This window comes from Homo sapiens, chromosome 7, assembly GCF_000001405.40.
Source record: "Homo sapiens chromosome 7, GRCh38.p14 Primary Assembly".
In the NCBI taxonomy this organism is placed as follows: domain Eukaryota; kingdom Metazoa; phylum Chordata; class Mammalia; order Primates; family Hominidae; genus Homo; species Homo sapiens.
Window position 1 is genome coordinate 112,726,802 of NC_000007.14, and position 17,504 is coordinate 112,744,305.

General features: G+C 37.8%; 1 pseudogene; it reads right to left on the reverse strand.

Annotated features, from left to right (window-relative positions):
* MIPEPP1 (mitochondrial intermediate peptidase pseudogene 1) lies at nt 8,199-11,637 on the reverse strand (annotated as a pseudogene).
* Nucleotides 11,638-17,504: the final 5,867 nt, after the last annotated feature.

Consider the following 17,504-nt stretch of genomic DNA (forward strand, 5'->3'; position numbering starts at 1 on the left):
TTTTGTGTCTATGTTTATTTTGGTCTGTTTTCTCTTTACTAGTGAAGTCTGTATCTGGCTTTAGTATCAAAATATAAATAACCTCTTAGAATGAGTTGGGGACTTTTCCTTAGTCATTTTTATTTCTTCTGCTTGTTTTGGTTGAATTTGCTCTTTGTCTGTTTTTCTTAAGGTGAAGCTTAGGTTATTGATTCAAGATTCTCTTTTTTCAAATATTTGTTTTTAAAGCTATATATGTTGAGCACTGCATTAGCTCCAACTTATATCTTTTGTAATGTTGTGCTTTTGTTTTCATTCAGGCCAAAATAATTTCTAATTTACCTTGTGATTTCTTCTTAGTCCTATGGGTTATTCATAACTGTGTTATTTAATTTTCAAATATTTAGAGATTTCTCAAATTTATTTCTATTAATTGGTAATTAAATTCCATTGTGGTCAAATAGCATACTTTGAATGATTGTTTTATGGCTTGCCATATGGTCTATCCTGGAGAATGTTCCATGTGTACTTGAGGTAAACATTCATTTCTCTCTTGGGTGGAAAGTAGGTGGTTATATGCATCTTACCATATTATATACCAGTTAGGTTCAAAGGACTTAGTGTTGTTCAATTCTTCCATATCCTTTTTGATTTTATGTCTATTAGTTCTATCCAGTATTAAAAGTTCAGTATCAGAGTTTCTAATTATAGTTTTTAAATAGTCTCTTTCACCTTTGAATTTTGTCAGTTTTAACTTCTTCTGATATGAGGCTCCTTTGTTTGATGATTATAAATTAAAATTTGTTTTACTTTAATAAAATTGACTCATTATTAAATGTTCCTTTTTATCTCTAATAGTATCATTTTGTTTTATATTAATATAGCCACTCCAACTACATTAGTATCCTTTTATTTACATCCAGTTGTGTCTTGGATTCTGTATTGTCTCTTTTGATAGCATATAGTTGAATATTGCTATTTAAATCTGATCTGAAAATCTCTGCCTTTTAATTAGAATGTTAGTGCACTTACTGTAATTTATTTGTTTCATTGGACCTGTGGCTGCCATTTTGTTATTTGTTTTTTAGATATGTTATGTTTTTTTTTATCTGTTCCTCTTTTATGGCCTTCTTTGGTGTGAAAAAAATTTTTTAGTGTATAATTTTAATTCCTCTTTCAAATTCTTAAGTATGCTTGAGTTATTTTCTTAGCAATTCTGCTGGGGATTACTATATGCCTCATAATTTATAATTGTCTACATCAGGTTAATACAGACTTAATTACAGTAAAATATAACTTTGCTTTAATATAGCTTTGTGCTGTTATTGTCATAATATAACAATTTATAATATAAACCCAACAATATAGGGTTGTAATTACTGCTTTATATAATCTTATGTCTCTTAAAGCAATTAAAAGAAGAAATTAGAACATGTATACATTTTTTATACTTATTGACATATTTACCATTTCAGTCATTCTGTGGATTCAAGCGACCATCCTATGTTATTTCCTCTCGGTATGAAGACTTTCTTTAGTATTTGTTTAGTATTTCATGTTAGGCAGATCTATGATCTATGATCTCTCAAACTTTGCTGGGTATAAAATTATTGGTTGACAGTTTTTTTCTTTTCTTTTTTTTAACCTTCAACCTACTCACACCAGACAGTTTTTTTTAAAATCCCAGAACTTTGTATGTTTTTCTGCTCTCCACTGTGAAGATAATCCTAAAGAGATATGACTTCTACCTTCTTTTTGAACTCAAGATCCAAGTCCTTCCTGCCTCATAATCTTGGCTCTTTTATTGTCATAGAGTTGGTTCTCTTGGCCCTATTTTTCCTATTAGACCTGAAAACGCTTGAGCCTGGGTAATTGTGCCTTCCCATTACTAATGGATTAATCTCTGGGAGAAAAGGTGAACTTTAATTTAATTTAAATTTTTTAAATTCATGCAATAGTTGTACATATTTATGGGGGTACATAGTAATGTTTCGCTACATATAATGTGTAGTGATCAGAGCAAGGTAATTAGCATATCCATCTCAAACACTTATCATTTCTTGGTGGTGAGAACATTCAATATCCTCCTTCTAGCTGTTTGAAACTATACAATACATTATGGTTAACTATAGTCATCCTACATTAGTGGTATAGAACACTAGAATTTGTTCCTCTTATCTAGCTATAATTTTGTATCCTTCAACAAATCTCTCCCTATCCCTTATTTCTCTCTACCCTTCCTATCCTCTATTATACTCTGTTCTACTTTTTACTTCTATGAGATCAGGGTTTCTTTTTCACCTTCCACAAATGAATGGAGGACATGTAGTGTTTAACTTTCTGTGCCTGGCTTATTTCACTTAACACAAGGTCCTCCAGTTTTATCCATGTTGCTGCAAATGACAGGATCTCATTATTTTTTGTGGCTGAACACTATTTCACTGTGTACATACACCACATTTTCTTTATGCATTCATTCATTGATGGGCACTTAGGTTAATTCCATATCTTTGGTCTGAGAAAAGATTTTATGAATAAGACCTCAAAGGCACAGCCAACCAAAAGCAAAAATAAATGGGATTATATAATACTAAAAAGCTTTTGCACAGCAAAAGAAACAATCAACAGAGTTAAAACACAGCCTATAGAATGGGAGAAAATACTTGCAAATATTGATCTGACAGGTGATTAATATCTAGGATAAACAAGGAACTCAAAATCTCAAGAGAAAAAAATCAAATTCGAAAATGGGCAAATAATCTGAACAGACATTTCTCAAAAGAAGGCACTTACGGCCAAGAATTACATGAAAAAATGTTCAGTGTCACCAATCATCAGGGGAATGCAAATCAGAATCACAGTGTGGTATCATCTAACCCCAGTTAGGATGGCTATGACCAAAAAGACTAAAACCAAATGCCAACAGGGATACAGAGAAAAGGGAACTCTTATACATTGTTGTTGGTAACGTAAAATACTACATCCATTATGGAGAACAGTATGGAGATTTCTCAAAAACTAAAAATATAACTGTTGTTCAATCCTGCAATCCCACTACTGAGTATTTACCCAAGGGGCAGGAAATAAGTACATCAAAGAGATATTTGTAACCCAATGTTGGTAGATTTTGTTTCCTAGTATTTTGTTGAGGATTTTTTCTGTCTATGTTTTTCAGGGATATTGGCCCATAGTTTTCTTTTTCATTTGTGTCTTTGTCTGGTTTTGTTATCAGAATTATGCTGGCCTCATAGAATGATTTAGAAAGAATTCCCTCTCTTTCAATTTTTCTGGAATAGTTTCAGGAGAACTGGTATACTTCTTTAAAGGTTCAGTAGAATTCAGCTGTGAAGCTGTTTTGTCCTGGGTTTGTTTTTGCTTTTCTACTTTCTTGAGATGTATTATTAGAATTGTTTATTTAAAATCTTTCTAGTTTTTTTAGATTTGGGTTCATTTTATTTTTATTTGTAATTATTTGTAGAGATGGCGGTCTCACTATGTTGCCCAGGCTTGTCTTGAACCCCTAGGCCGAAGAAATCCTCTTGTCTGTCTACTGATTGATTGATAGATTGATAGGGTCTTATGTTGTCCAGGATGGTCTTGAACTCCTGGCTTCAAGTGATGCTCCTGTCTCAGCCTCCCAAAATGCTGGAATTGAAGATGTGAGCAACTGTGCCTGGCCTTTTCTAGCTTTTTGATGTAGGCATTTATTGCTATAAACATTAGTTAGTACTGTTTTTGCTATGTCTTGTAGGTTTTTGGGTTTTGGTTTGCTGTGTTTCTATCTTCATTTTTTTTTTTTTTTTATTCTTTTTTTTTTTTGAGACAGTCTTGCTCTGTCGCCCAGGCTGGAGGGCAATGGCGTGATCTTGGCTCACTGCAAGCTCCACCTCCCAGGTTCACGCCATTCTCCTGCCTCAGCCTCCCGAGTAGCTGGGACTACAGGTGCCCGCCACCATGCCTGCTAATTTATTTTGTATTTTTAGTATAGACAGAGTTTCACTGTGTTAGCCAGGATGGTCTCAATCTCCTGACCTTGTATCCACCCACCTCGGCCTCCCAAAGTGCTGGGATTACAGGCATGAGCCACTGCACCCGGCCTAATTTATTCTTAATTTTTTCCTCATCTATTGGTCATGCAGGAGCATGTTTAATTTTCTTGTACTTGTATAGTTTCAAATATTCCTCTTGTTAATGATGTCTAATTTTATTCCATTTTGATAAGATACTTGATATGATTTTTATTTTTAAAAATATTTTTGGGGGCTTATGTTGTGTTTTTACATATGGTAAATCCTGGGGAATGTTCCATATGCCAATGAAAATAATATATATTCTGCAGCTGTTGGGTGAAATGTTCACTAAATATATGCTAAGTCCATTTGTTCCATGGTACAGTTTATTTTTATTTTTTATTTTATTTATTTATTTATTATACTTTAAGTTCTAGGGTACGTGTGCACAACGTGCAGGTATACATGTGCCATGTTGGTGTGCTGAACCCATTAACTAGTCACTTACAACAGGTATATCTCCTAATGCTATCTCTCCCCCTTCCCCTCACCCCACGACAGGTCCTGGTGTGTGATGTTCCCCTTCCTGTGTCCAACTGTTCTCATTGTTCAATTCCCACCTATGAGTGAGAACACGCAGTGTTTTGTTTTGTTTTGTTTTGTCCTTGCAATAGTTTGCTGAGAATAATGGTTTCCAGCTTCATCCATGTCCCTACAAAGGACATGAACTTATCCTTTTTTATGGCTGCATAGTATTCCATGGTGTATATGTGCCACATTTTCTTAATCCAGTCTATCATTGATGGACACTTGGGTTGGTTCCAAGTCTTTGCTATTGTGAATAGTGACACAATAAACATATGTGTGCATGTGTCTTTATAGCAGCATGATTTATAGTCCTTTGGGTATATACCTGGTAATGGGATGGCTGGGTCAAATGGTATTTCTAGTTCTGTATCCTTGAGGAATCGCCACACTGTCTTCCACAATGGTTGAACTAGTTTAAAGTCCCACCAACAGTGTAAAAGTGTTCCTATTTCTCCACATCCTCTCCAGCACCTCTTGTTTTCTGACTTTTTAATGGTCGCCATTCTACCTGGTGTGAGATGGTATCTCATTGTAGTTTTGATTTGCATTTCCCTGATGGCCAGTGATGATGAGCATTTTTTCAAGTGTCTGTTGGCTGCATAAATGTCTTCTTTTGAGAAGTCTCTGTTCATATCTTTTGTCCACTTTTTGATGGGGTTGTTTGTTTTTTTCTTGGAAATTTGTTTGAGTTCTTTGTAGATTCTGGATATTAGCCCTTTGTCAGATGAGTAGATTGCAAAAATTTTCTCCCATTCTGTAGGTTGCCTGTTCACTCTGATGGTAGTTTCTTTTGCTGTGCAGAAAGCTCTTCAGTTTAATTAGATCCCATTTGTCAATTTTGGCTTTTGTTGCCATTGCTTTTGGTGTTTTAGACATGAAGTCCTTGCCCATGCCTATGTCCTGAATGGTATTGCCTAGGTTTTCTTCTAGGGTTTTTATGGTTTTAGGTCTAACATTTAAGTCTTTAATCCATCTTGAATTAATTTTTGTATAAGGTGTAAGGAAGGGATCCAGTTTCAGCTTTCTACATATGGCTAGCCAGTTTTCCCAGCACCATTTATTAAATAGGGAATCCTTCCCCCGTTTCTTCTTTTTGTCAGGTTTGTCAAAGATCAGATGGCTGTAGATCCATTGGTCTATATCTCTGTTTTGGTACCATTACCGTGCTGTTTTGGTTACTGTAGCCTTGTAGTATAGTTTGAAATCAAGTAGCATGATGCCCCAGCTTTGTTCTTCTGGCTTAGGATTGACTTGGCGATGCGGGCTCTTTTTTGGTTCATATGAACTTTAAAGTAGTTTTTTCCAATTCTGTGAAGAAAGTCATTGGTAGCTTGATGGGGATGGCATTGAATCTGTAAATTACCTTGGGCAGTATGGCCATTTTCACGATATTGATTCTTCCTATCCATGAGCATGGAATGTTCTTCCATTTGTTGGTGTCCTCTTTTATTTCATCGAGCAGTGGTTTGTAGTTCTCCTTGAAGAGGTCCTTCACATCCCTTGTAAGTTGGATTCCTAGGTATTTTATTCTCTTTGAAGCAATTGTGAATGGGAGTTCACTCATGATTTGGCTCTCTGTTTGTCTGTTATTGATGTATAAGAATGCTTGTGATTTTGCACATTAATTTTGTATCCTGAGACTTTGCTGAAGTTGCTTTTCAGCTTAAGGAGATTTGAGGCTGAGACGATGGGTTTTTCTAGGTATACAATCATGTCATCTGCAAACAGAGACAATTTGACTTCCTCTTTTCCTATTTGAATACCCTTTATTTCTTTCTCTTGCCTGATTGTCTTGGCTAGAACTTCCAATACTATGTTGAATAGGAGTCATGAGAGGGGGTGTCGTTGTCTTGTGCTGGTTTTCAAAGGGAATGCTTCCAGGTTTTGTCCATTCAGTATGATATTGGTTGTGGTTTTGTCATAAATAGCTCTTATTATTTTTAGATATGTGCCATCAATGCCTAATTTATTGAGAGTTTTTAGCATGAAGGGCTGTTGAATTCGCAAAGGCCTTTTCTGCATCTATTGAGATAATCATGTGGTTTTTGTCTTTGGTTCTGCTTATAGGCTGGATTACGTTTATTGATTTGCATATGTTGAACCAGCCTTGCATCCCAGGGATGAAGCCCACTTGATCATGGTGGATAAGCTTTTTGATGTGCTGCTGGATTCGGTTTGCCAGTACTTTATTGAGGATTTTTGCATGGATGTTCATCAGGGATATTGGTCTAAAATTCTCTTTTTGTTGTTGTGTCTCTGCTAGGCTTTGGTATCAGGATGATGCTGGCCTCATAAAATGAGTTAGGGAGGATTCCTTCTTTTTCTATTGATTGGAATAGTTTCAAAAGGTATGGTACGAACTCCTCCTTGCTATGACAGAATTTAAATGTGATGTTTCACTGTTCATTTTTCTGTGTTGGTAATCTATCCAATGCTGAGAGTGGGATGTTGAATTAAGTCCCTGACTATTGTTGTATAGGGGTCTATCTCTCCCTTTAGATAGAATATTTGCTTTATATTTCTGGGTGCTCTGGTGATGGGTATATGTATGTTTACAATTGTGGCATTTTCTTTCCAAAGTGATCCCTTTGTTATATAATGTCTTTCTTTGTCTCTTTACAGCTTTTGAGTTGAAGTCTGTTTGTATTGCTACTCCTGCTCACTTTTGGCTTCTGTTTGCCTAAAATATCTTTTTCATCATTTCACTTTCAGTTGTGTTTACAGTGAAGTGAATTTCTTGTAGGCAGCGTATTATTGGGTCATGTTTTTATTAATTCATTCAGTCAGTCTATATATTTTAAATGAGGAATTTAATCCATTTACTTTCAAGGTTATTACTGATAGATGAGGACTTACTCCTGTCATTTATTGATGTTTTTCTGGTTTTTGTATATTTATGCCTGGTTTGTTTTGTATATTTGTTCTTTACTTCCTGATTGTTTGTTGTTGCAGCTGGGTGGTTTTCTGTAGTGATAAGGCTTTATTCCTTTCTTTTTCTCCTTTGTGTATTGGCTTTACCAGTCAGTTTTATAGTTTCTCATGTTTTCATCATGGTGGTTACCATTTTTTTACTTCCAGATGTAAGACTCCTTTGAGCATTTCTTGTAAGTCTGTTCTCGTGGTAAATTTCCTTAATTTTTGTTTATCTGTGAAATATTTTATTTCCCCTTCATTTCTAAAGTGTAGCTTTGCTGGGTTTAATATTCTTGGCTGACAGTTTTTTTTTTTCAGCACTTTGAATCTATCATCCCATTCTTTCCTGGCCTGTAAATATTTTGCTGAGAAGTACACTGTTAGTCTAATGAAGATTCCTTTATATGTGACTTAATTCTTTCCTCTTGCTGTTTTTAAAATTCATTGTCTTTGACTTTTGACAATTTGACTACAACATTTTTCAGAGAGGACCTGCTTGGGTTAAATCTAATTGGGATTCTTTGAGCTTTCTGGACCTGGATGCCTATCTCTCTCCCAAGACTTGGGAAGTTATCTGCTATGATTTTATTAAATATGTTTTCCTCTCCTTTTCTATTCTCTTCTCTTCTCCTTGTAGAACACCCAGAATATGAATATTTATTCACTTAATGGTGTCTCATACATCTGTAGGCTTTCTTCATTTCTATATAATTAAAACAAATGATTTATTCCAAGTTCTATCAGTTTAAAGTTTTTCAGAAATTATTACAGAAATCAACACTGAAATCAGAAACAAGCTTTCACAGCTGTAGCATTTATAACAAAGTCAATATCTACATTGCCTTGATTTAAGAGATTTAGGGTGTTTCCATGATTCATAATCCATGACAAAAGTTTCAAAGTCCAGATCCAAGTCAGAAACAAGGGCACTTACAAAGTAATCAATAGAAGGGCACTTTTGAAGCACACCTTCAACCATGAGCATGGGCTTCTTGCCTCCACTGTGGGCCAGCATCTCCCTGCAATAGCACTCCATGGTGGCCCTGTTAAAAGGATTTTGTAGAAAACATTCCTTCCAAACCATGGAAGTGACTGCCCTAGACATGAGGTAAGAGTAATATTTGGCCCTATAGCCCATGAGGTAGGTGATCCGCAGCTTCTAGGCAGTATTTGGAACATATGGTAAGCCACAGAATGTCTCTTGTGTTTCCTTGAGAATGTCTGTGGTTGAATTCCTCAGGGGATGCTTCCTATGGTAGATTTGATCCAGAGGGGCATAAAAGACCTGAAGTTTCATATCAGCTGCAGCACAAACTTTTTTAGATTCAGAAAGCTGAGACACCATATTTTTTTGGCAGTGGCTGCCCATTCTAATTTTGTCTGGCAAACTGGTTACTCAATAATCATTTGCAAAGTACTCTATTAGAATAGAAGGAACCCCTGCAAAATCAATGGGGCACCTGGTTCCGGTGATGTGTTGGTAAGAAGTACGTCCTAGCATTGAATGCATAGCATGTCCCATTTCATGGTCAAGATTTTCCATCATTCCAGGAGTTAGCAAAGTTTGTGAACTCCTTGAGGAATGGGGAAGATTCAGCATAAGAACTATGACTGGGAGTTGATAGTCTCTGTCTTCCTTTAATCTGCCTCTGTGGATTCGAAAATGGCAATCCTGATGTGGTTTGTCTGCTTGCTGAAAAAAATCAAAGTAAATGCACCCCAACAGTCCTTCAGATTCATGAATGATGGCCAGTTTTCGGACATCTTCACACCATACCTCTCCTTTTGCAGGCTACTCTGCATATAAGGAAATCTCCAACAGTTTGTTAAGCCAAATATTCAGGCCTTCCATGCATGCTCCAAGGGAGAAAAACAGGCAATATAAGCCAGGGTCAATATTATACCTTTGTGCATGAATCACACCACTCTGGTAGTGGGGGTCCCAAGGCATTACTTTGGAACTTTGAGAATTCTGTTTCATTTTCTTTTTTTTAATTTAATTTAATTTAATTTAATTTAATTTTATTTTATTATTATTATACTTTAAGTTTTAGGGTACATGTACACAATGTGCAGGTTAGTTACATATGTATACATGTGCCATGCTGGTGTGCTGCACCCATTAACTCGTCATTTAGCATTAGATATATCTTCTAAAGCTATCCTTCCCCCCTCCCCACACCCAACAACAGTCCCCAGAGTGTGATGTTCCCCTTCTTGTGTCCATGTGTTCTCATTTTTCAATTCCCACCTATGAGTGAGAATATGCGGTGCTTGGTTTTTTGTTCTTGCGATAGTTTACTGAGAATGATGATTTCCAATTTCATCCATGTCCCTACAAAGCACATGAACTCATCATTTTTTATGGCTGCATAGTATTCCATGGTGTATATGTGCCACATTTTCTTAATCCAGTCTATCATTGATGGACATTTGGGTTGGTTCCAAGTCTTTGCTATTGTGAGTAGTGCCGCAATAAACCTACGTGTGCATGTGTCTTTATAGCAGCATGATTTATAGTCCTTTGGGTATATACCCAGTAATGGGATGGCTGGGTCAAATGGTATTTCTAGTTCTAGATCCCTGAGGAATCGCCACACTGACTTCCACAATGGTTGAACTAGTTTACAGTCCCATCAACAGTGTAAAAGTGTTCCTATTCCTCCACATCCTCTCCAGCACCTGTTGTTTCCTGACATTTTAATGATCGCCATTCTAACTGGTGTGAGATGGTATCTCATTGTAGTTTTGATTTGCATTTCTCTGATGGCCAGTGATGTTGAGCATTTTTTCATGTGTTTTTTGGCTGCATAAATGTCTTCTTTTGAGAAGTGTCTGTTCATGTCCTTCGCCCACTTTTTGATGGGGTTGTTTGTTTTTTTCTTGGAAATTTGTTTGAGTTCATTGTAGATTCTGGATATTAGCCCTTTGTCAGATGAGTAGGTTGTGAAAATCTTCTCCCATTTTGTAGGTTGCATGTTCACTCTGATGGTGGTTTCTTTTGCTGTGCAGAAGCTCTTTAGTTTAATTAGATCCCATTTGTCAATTTTGGCTTTTGTTGCCATTGCTTTTGGTGTTTTAGACATGAAGTTCTTGCCCATGACTATGACCTGAATGGTAATCCCTAGGTTTTCTTCTAGGGTTTTTTATGGTTTTAGGTCTAATGTTTAAGTCTTTAATCCATCTTGAATTAATTTTTGTATAAGGTGTAAGGAAGGGATCCAGTTTCAGCTTTCTACATATGGCTAGCCAGTTTTCCCAGCACCATTTATTAAATAGGGAATCCTTTCCCCATTGCTTGTTTTTCTCAGGTTTGTCAAAGATCAGATAGTTGTAGATATGTGGCATTATTTCTGAGGGCTCTGTTCTGTTCCATTGATCTATATCTCTGTTTTGGTACCAGTACCATGCTGTTTTGGTTACTGTAGCCTTGTAGTATAGTTTGAAGTCAGGTAGCATGATGCCTAAAGCTTTGTTCTTCTGTTTCACTTTTCATCTGTCGTATCATCTCAAAATCTTTTCAAGTTCTTTCAGAAAGTTTGTCAGAGAGTTTCTCAGGGAACTGGATGACAGTCTCTGAATTTTTAACTATTGTTCCTTGGAGAGCCCTGCTGGAAAACACAGAATACCCTACCAACTTTTGCAGAGGATCTCTGTTGCTGAGCAATTCTTCTAAACATTTTAACTGACCAGTATAGGGATGAAGAAAAATTTTGTAAGCAGCTTCTCACACCAAGTCGCCTGGTGCTTCTGCATGGAGACCATCAATTATGATACGATCCCCATCAGATAAAAGTTATGGTGAATGTGTTCTAGTAAGAGATGCTTCTCAATCTTGTTGGGAAAGTTGTTTGCCGTAAGACATGTACTACTCAAATCCAAGATTTTAACATTGAGGTCCACTGCTCTTTTACACTTTTCTTTGTCTAGATGGATTCCACTAATTTCAAAATCAAACATAAACAGTTAGGCCACTTGCCTAGTTTTTGTTTTGTTTTTAATCAGCTAGTAATTTTTGCAAACTTTGACATAATTCCACATTTGTGTTCATCCAAGTCAGCCACTCTGAACAAGGAATCTGAGAGCTCATCGAAGATGCGCACAATCTGGGGTCCAGGTGGGGTGGAACATGCATGTTCCACAAGCAATTCTGTCTTTCTCAAGGCTTTTTATTGGGCAATATTAAATTTTTCTGGAGCGCTGAGCTCAGGACATCCAAAAAGACCCCAGTGCTCACTAAACAGGTCCAAGTGGTAGCCCTGACATTGAAGGCGGAGCCCACCAGGGACCAGCAGATGCTGACCCTTCCACATGGGTATCAACTCTGAGGCTGCCCCTGCCTACCCGCCCTGGCCACAGGGGCACTACTCCAGCTACAAAGCAGCCTAGCCTTTGGGCACATAGTGTTTGTGCAGTAACCCCATGCCCAGCTGCAAGACCCTTGCTCCAGTGCTGCAGCTCCAGCCAGGAGTGCACGTTCTGCATTTCCGGGCTTTCTTCATTTTTAAAATGCTTTTTTCTTTTCTTTCTTTCCTTCTTTCTTTTGTTCACTTGTAATATTTCAAAATACCTGCCTTCAAGTTCAGAAATTATTTCTTCTGCTTGGTCTAGTCTGTTGTTGAAGCTCTGGATTGTATTTTGTCATTTCATTCATTGAATTCTTCAGCTCTAGGATTTCTGTTTGGCTCTTTTTTAATGATATCTGTCTTTGTTGGATTTCTCATTCAAATAATTACTTTCCTGATTTCACTGAATTGTCTATCTGTGTTCTCTTGTATCTCACTGAGTTTCCTTACTATTATTTAGAATTCATTTTTGGCATTTGACATATTTCCTTATGATTGGGGTCTATTACTGGAGACATTGTTTTCCTTTGGAGGTGTCATGTTTCCTTTCTTTTTCATGTTCAACATGTTCCTACATTGATTTCTACATATCTGGTGGAAAAATTGCCTCTTCCAATTTTATGAAGTAGGTTTCATAGGGAAAAGCTTATTTGTATGAATGGGTCTTGGAGTGTTGGCCTTGGTTCTGGGTGGACACTGTAGTGTAGTCTCCATGTAGTCTTTTTTTTTTTTTCAGCTGTAATCCACACTAGTAACATTTATGAGTGTCTCAGTGTCCTAGGCTAAGATTTTGATGGTAATGGGAGTGGGTTCCTATGCTGGGAGTGGGTTCTCCAGGCTATTTCTTAGGTTTGGGGAGTGTGTGTGCACATAGTGGTTCAGTCACCTTGGGGTCTGGCTCACTGGAATTGAGGCCATGGAGTTATTACTGTGGCTGGGAGCATGGGCACACATTTGCTTGGCTGGCCTTGTGGCATGCCTGCCAGGAGTACATTGTGGAATTGTTCTCACGTCCAGAATGTAGGCACACAGCTGGTCAGCTGGCTTGGTAGTATATCTACCAGGGATAGCCCACAGTACTGTTTTTCAGGCCTGAGACATGGGTGCAAGGCTGCTCAGATGGCCTAAGGGTGTGTCTGCTCTGGGGAAGGGGGACCCACCGGAGTGTTTCTCAATTTTGGGACACAGGTGTTAGGCAGCTCAGCTAGCTCAGGATAGCCTTTGGGGACTGTTTCTTAGGTCCAGGTCATGGGCTCAAAGCTGCTTGGCTGGCCTAGGGTTGTGCCCACCAGAAGCCAGACTGTGGGACTGTGTCTCAGATCTTGATTGCAGGTGCAGGGCCATTGGGCAGGCTAGGGGCATGTCTGCTGGGGAGTGGGAGGACACTACAGGGACAGGGCTATTTTTCAGGTCCTGAGCAGAAGTGTGTAGCTGCGCCACCAGCCTGAAGTATGTATTAGCTGTTCAGAGGCTTGGATGCCTCTCCTACTTTGAGGGGGGCATGCAGTGGTTTGGCTGGCTCAAGGTTGAGTTCACCCTGGGTGGGACTGCCAGACTGTTCATTCAGGTGGAAGTGTGGCAGCAGGGATGGGTGGGTTACCTTGCTGTGCAAGACCTGAATCACAACCTACCCTGGGCCTGAGCTTTGTGCAGATGGAGTTGTGGCATTCAGCCACCTGTGTAGGCTTGGTAAAATTAAGATGAAGCCCCAGTATTGGAGAGGAACAGTGGCTACTGGCCATCAGAACAAGGTGCACTACAGAGATGGCTCTGTTCTCATGATGCGATGCTGCACCAGCTTGTCTTGCAGAGGGTGAGTGGTGGGTGGGAAGTATACACGTCATGCCCCTAAACTGGGGCAATGCAGCTGCATGAATTCCTGGCAGTTCTCCAAACTGGGCTCAGGGCTTGCAAGGAGCATGTGATTCTCCTGTCCTAAGAACTGTGAGTGTTTGTGGTGGCAATGGCGACTGGTGGGGATCTTTTGCCTACCTTTTCCCCCTGAAATGGGAAGTTCCTCCTGACTCCTGGCAGATTCAATCTGAGCAGGGGAGATGGTTGCAGACACCAGGTACCTCCATACCGCCCTCCTGGATGTCAGTGAATCACCACAGGTGCATCTCCACTCCCTTGCTGCACATCAGCACTCTCCCTTCAACATCCCAGTAAAATCTTAGCTGTTTATTTGTTGCCTTGGTCCTTGTGGGAGGGATGCGTATCAAGCATCACTAGTCAGCAATTTTGATGATGTCACTTCTTTACTTGTACATAAAAGCAATGATTATTTCCTTGGCTTGCCAGAGAGCTGAAAGTTAAAATTTCATTTGAGAATATAATCCCAGGCTCCCAGTGATCTCTCTCTTTATAGAACTTGTGATCTTTCTAGCATTCTTTTAAATTTATTTTTAATTTTCCAGTAGTAAATCATTAAATAATCCAGACTTCCCATTGGGTGTAGTTTTTAAGCTGCTAGCACCACCATCTTCATTTTATTTACCAAGCTAACAAATAGAAAAATTAGACCTAGAGTCTGGCTTTTCTGACCCATATATAATGCATGCAGTCATAGGTCTAACAAAGTTCATTTACACCATAAAAAAGAGCAAACGACAATTTTTACAATAAGCATATTTTGCCAAAAATAAAAAAGGGAATAAAAGAATGTCTTACTTGCCTCCTTGTTAAAACAAACTTTTTTAAAAAAATAATTTTTTTCTTGCTTCCAGTGTGGTTGGAGAAACTTTAACAAAAATTGACTATCATGGGAAGATCTTTGTATTAATAGCTCTGGAAGAGAGTGTTAGACTATCTTAGGAGGCATACTGCTTCACATAAGTGAAGATAATAAGAGACATGGCCTCTATCCATTGTAGCCATTAAGATCCTGTCGGGATATAGTAGTCACACTACTTATTTAACAGAAAATATAACATAAGGAATTGTTAATTAGGTATAAAGTTGTTAGTTAGGTGGCTAAAAAGGCAAAAAGGAAACATAAAGCAACTGCAGGAGCAGATACCACTCCTAGGGCTGGGGGAACAAAGGGAAGAGGTTGCACATACAGGTTTGAGTATTTCTTATCCAAAATGCTTAGGACCAGAAGTGTTTGATTTCAGCTTTCTTCAGATTTTGGAATATTTGCATATACATAATGAGATACCTTGGGGATGGCACCCAAGTCTAAACATGGAATTCACTTATGTTCCATATACATATATATAGCCTGAAGATAATTTTATATAAGATTTTAAATAATTTTGTGGATAAAACAAAGTTTTGACTGTATTTTGGCTGTGACCCATCACATGAGGTCAACTGTGAAAATTTCCACCTGTGGCATCATGTCAGTCCTCAGAGTTTCAGATTTTGGAGCATTTAAAATTTCAGGTTGTTGAATTAGGGATGTTCAATCTGTATTAAAACTTGGAAGCTTGGAGACAAGAAGCTCTGAAACTCAGATCTCTAAAAAGGGGTCTTTAGATAGCTAGTTTTTGTGTCTCTGACAAGGTGCAAAAAGGCTGGTTCTATAAGAGTTGTGATGGGAAGGACTTGCCCTCTCAGGGTGAGGCAGCATTGGGGAGCGGAATTGCCTTCTTAGGGTGAAAAAGCAATGTAGGGCTGATGCTTCCAGGAAGAGGAAGCAGGCAAGAGCAAGTAGTTCTTTCTTCCTGTCTCCACCTTGTGCTGTCCTTCTAAACAACCTCCTGTCATCACCATAATTGGCAGAACTTAAGAGGGAGCCAGCTGGAATGTAGTTTGTAAAGTCTCAGCTCCAGCATTATGTAGCACAGAATGGATAGATTTGATGCTGAGAAACAAAAACTTAGTAACTGGCACATTCATTTAATTCTAAATAAAATGTTTTCCCCACCTATCCAATATTTTTGATTCCTATGTTCTTGAGATGATCAGAAATAATCAAATATTATTGTAACTTATGCTTTCCTATCATTTTAACCAAGGCTGAATCAAAGTTAAATTTTACTTCTTTCTATTATTGTGGGGGAGGGGAGGGGGGTGTATTCAGGGATTAGTTGGGAAAATGGGAAAGATTACTTTTAATTTCTATAATGGACATACTAGTTTTATTGTTGACCACCTCAAATATGTTGGAGATACATGGAGTATAAATTATAAATAAATAAAACTCAGCTGTGCCAACTAATAAGAGACTCCCAACAACTCCCCAATTATCTAACCTTGGGGTGGGGACGGGAATGTACACTTTTACTGGTGAAGAATTAGTAGCAGGAGATGATGGAAGAAAGATAGTCTGAGCAGACACGCACAACACTTCTTCAGTCTGAACTCTGTTTTTCATTCACCCAAAGGCTACTAGCCTAAAGGTGTAGTGCCTTCCAATTTCTGGATGAAAAAGCCACTTGGGAGATAGAGAAGAGAGAACAACAGAGGAAGTACATATTTAAAGTAAATGTGCTAGTTAAGATTCCCTTAAATTAAAATCAGGATGGAAATAATTTTATTTTGAGAACCTTCAGAGAATACTATTGAATAATCTATGGTTCCTTAACACAGGAAGGGGTCTTCAATTACCTTTTTTCCTTTAACTGAAATTTTAAAATTAATAGTATCTTTTTCAATTTAGAAATGAAAGAAACTTTAAAACTGCTGCAAAAACATATACGGTTATATCTTGTTATGTGATGGTGCTTAACATAAAACAGGATGTTTTACTCATGGCCAGGAAAGCTTGTTATATAAGTACATTTAAACATAAAGCCCTCCTCCCTGCCTTAAAAAAATAAAAAGGTCTATAAATTCCTAAGGATTTTGAAACTCTTGTTTAAGAACTTTGAGGAATTGGGGAAATGTAGGTTATGCTTGATTTTTAAAAAATGGTTGTTTTCAACAAAACATAATCTTGCAGAAGGGAAGAGTAGGAGGGTACGAATTATTTAAAAGCTTTTCCTAAGTGACTTTGATATCTGCTCCCCACCCCAAATCAGGTGAAGACCAATGGCAAAAATAAACATAAAGGTGGATGGAAAATTGCAATGCCAGGAGAGATATTACCCTTTAATAAAAATCTTTTCCATGTTTATGATTATTTTATTTTTTATCTTATAACGTAAATAATAAAATAACATCTTAATGATAACCAGAGCACTAAAAACCACCACCAAAAAAAAAAAAAAAAAAAAAAATCACAGGTACCTGGGTATTAAAATGGCCTGTTAAGGCAGGCAGCTCAGTGCGATTGGAATTCACTACAGGGAATATTAGATTGAACAAAGAACTAGAATAGAAGTGTTGACAAAATTTAATTAGGAGAGGGCTGGTAGACACTCAAGCATGGCCAGAGAACACAGAGATTAGAGCCTGTGGAGCCTCCCTCTAAGTGGGCATAGGAGGTAGTGAAACCTGTTTGGAGTTGAGCTGCTGCAGCCTGGGGCACTTCTCTGGGGAGAGAGCTCTTGTTTCTAATTTTCCTAGAATACAGCTAACAAGGCTAATGTTACCAGCCCAGCTGAGGTCTTTTTTTTTTTTTTCCTTCTGCTGAGGTTTGTAATTCTACAATTTTAAATGTCCTTAACTATAAAAAACAGTCTATGAACCAACCCAACTTCCACATTACCCAAGTATCATTACCCTATATATCTCTTACATTAACTTATTATGTTAGTTTGTTCTTCTATAGTAGTGCTTC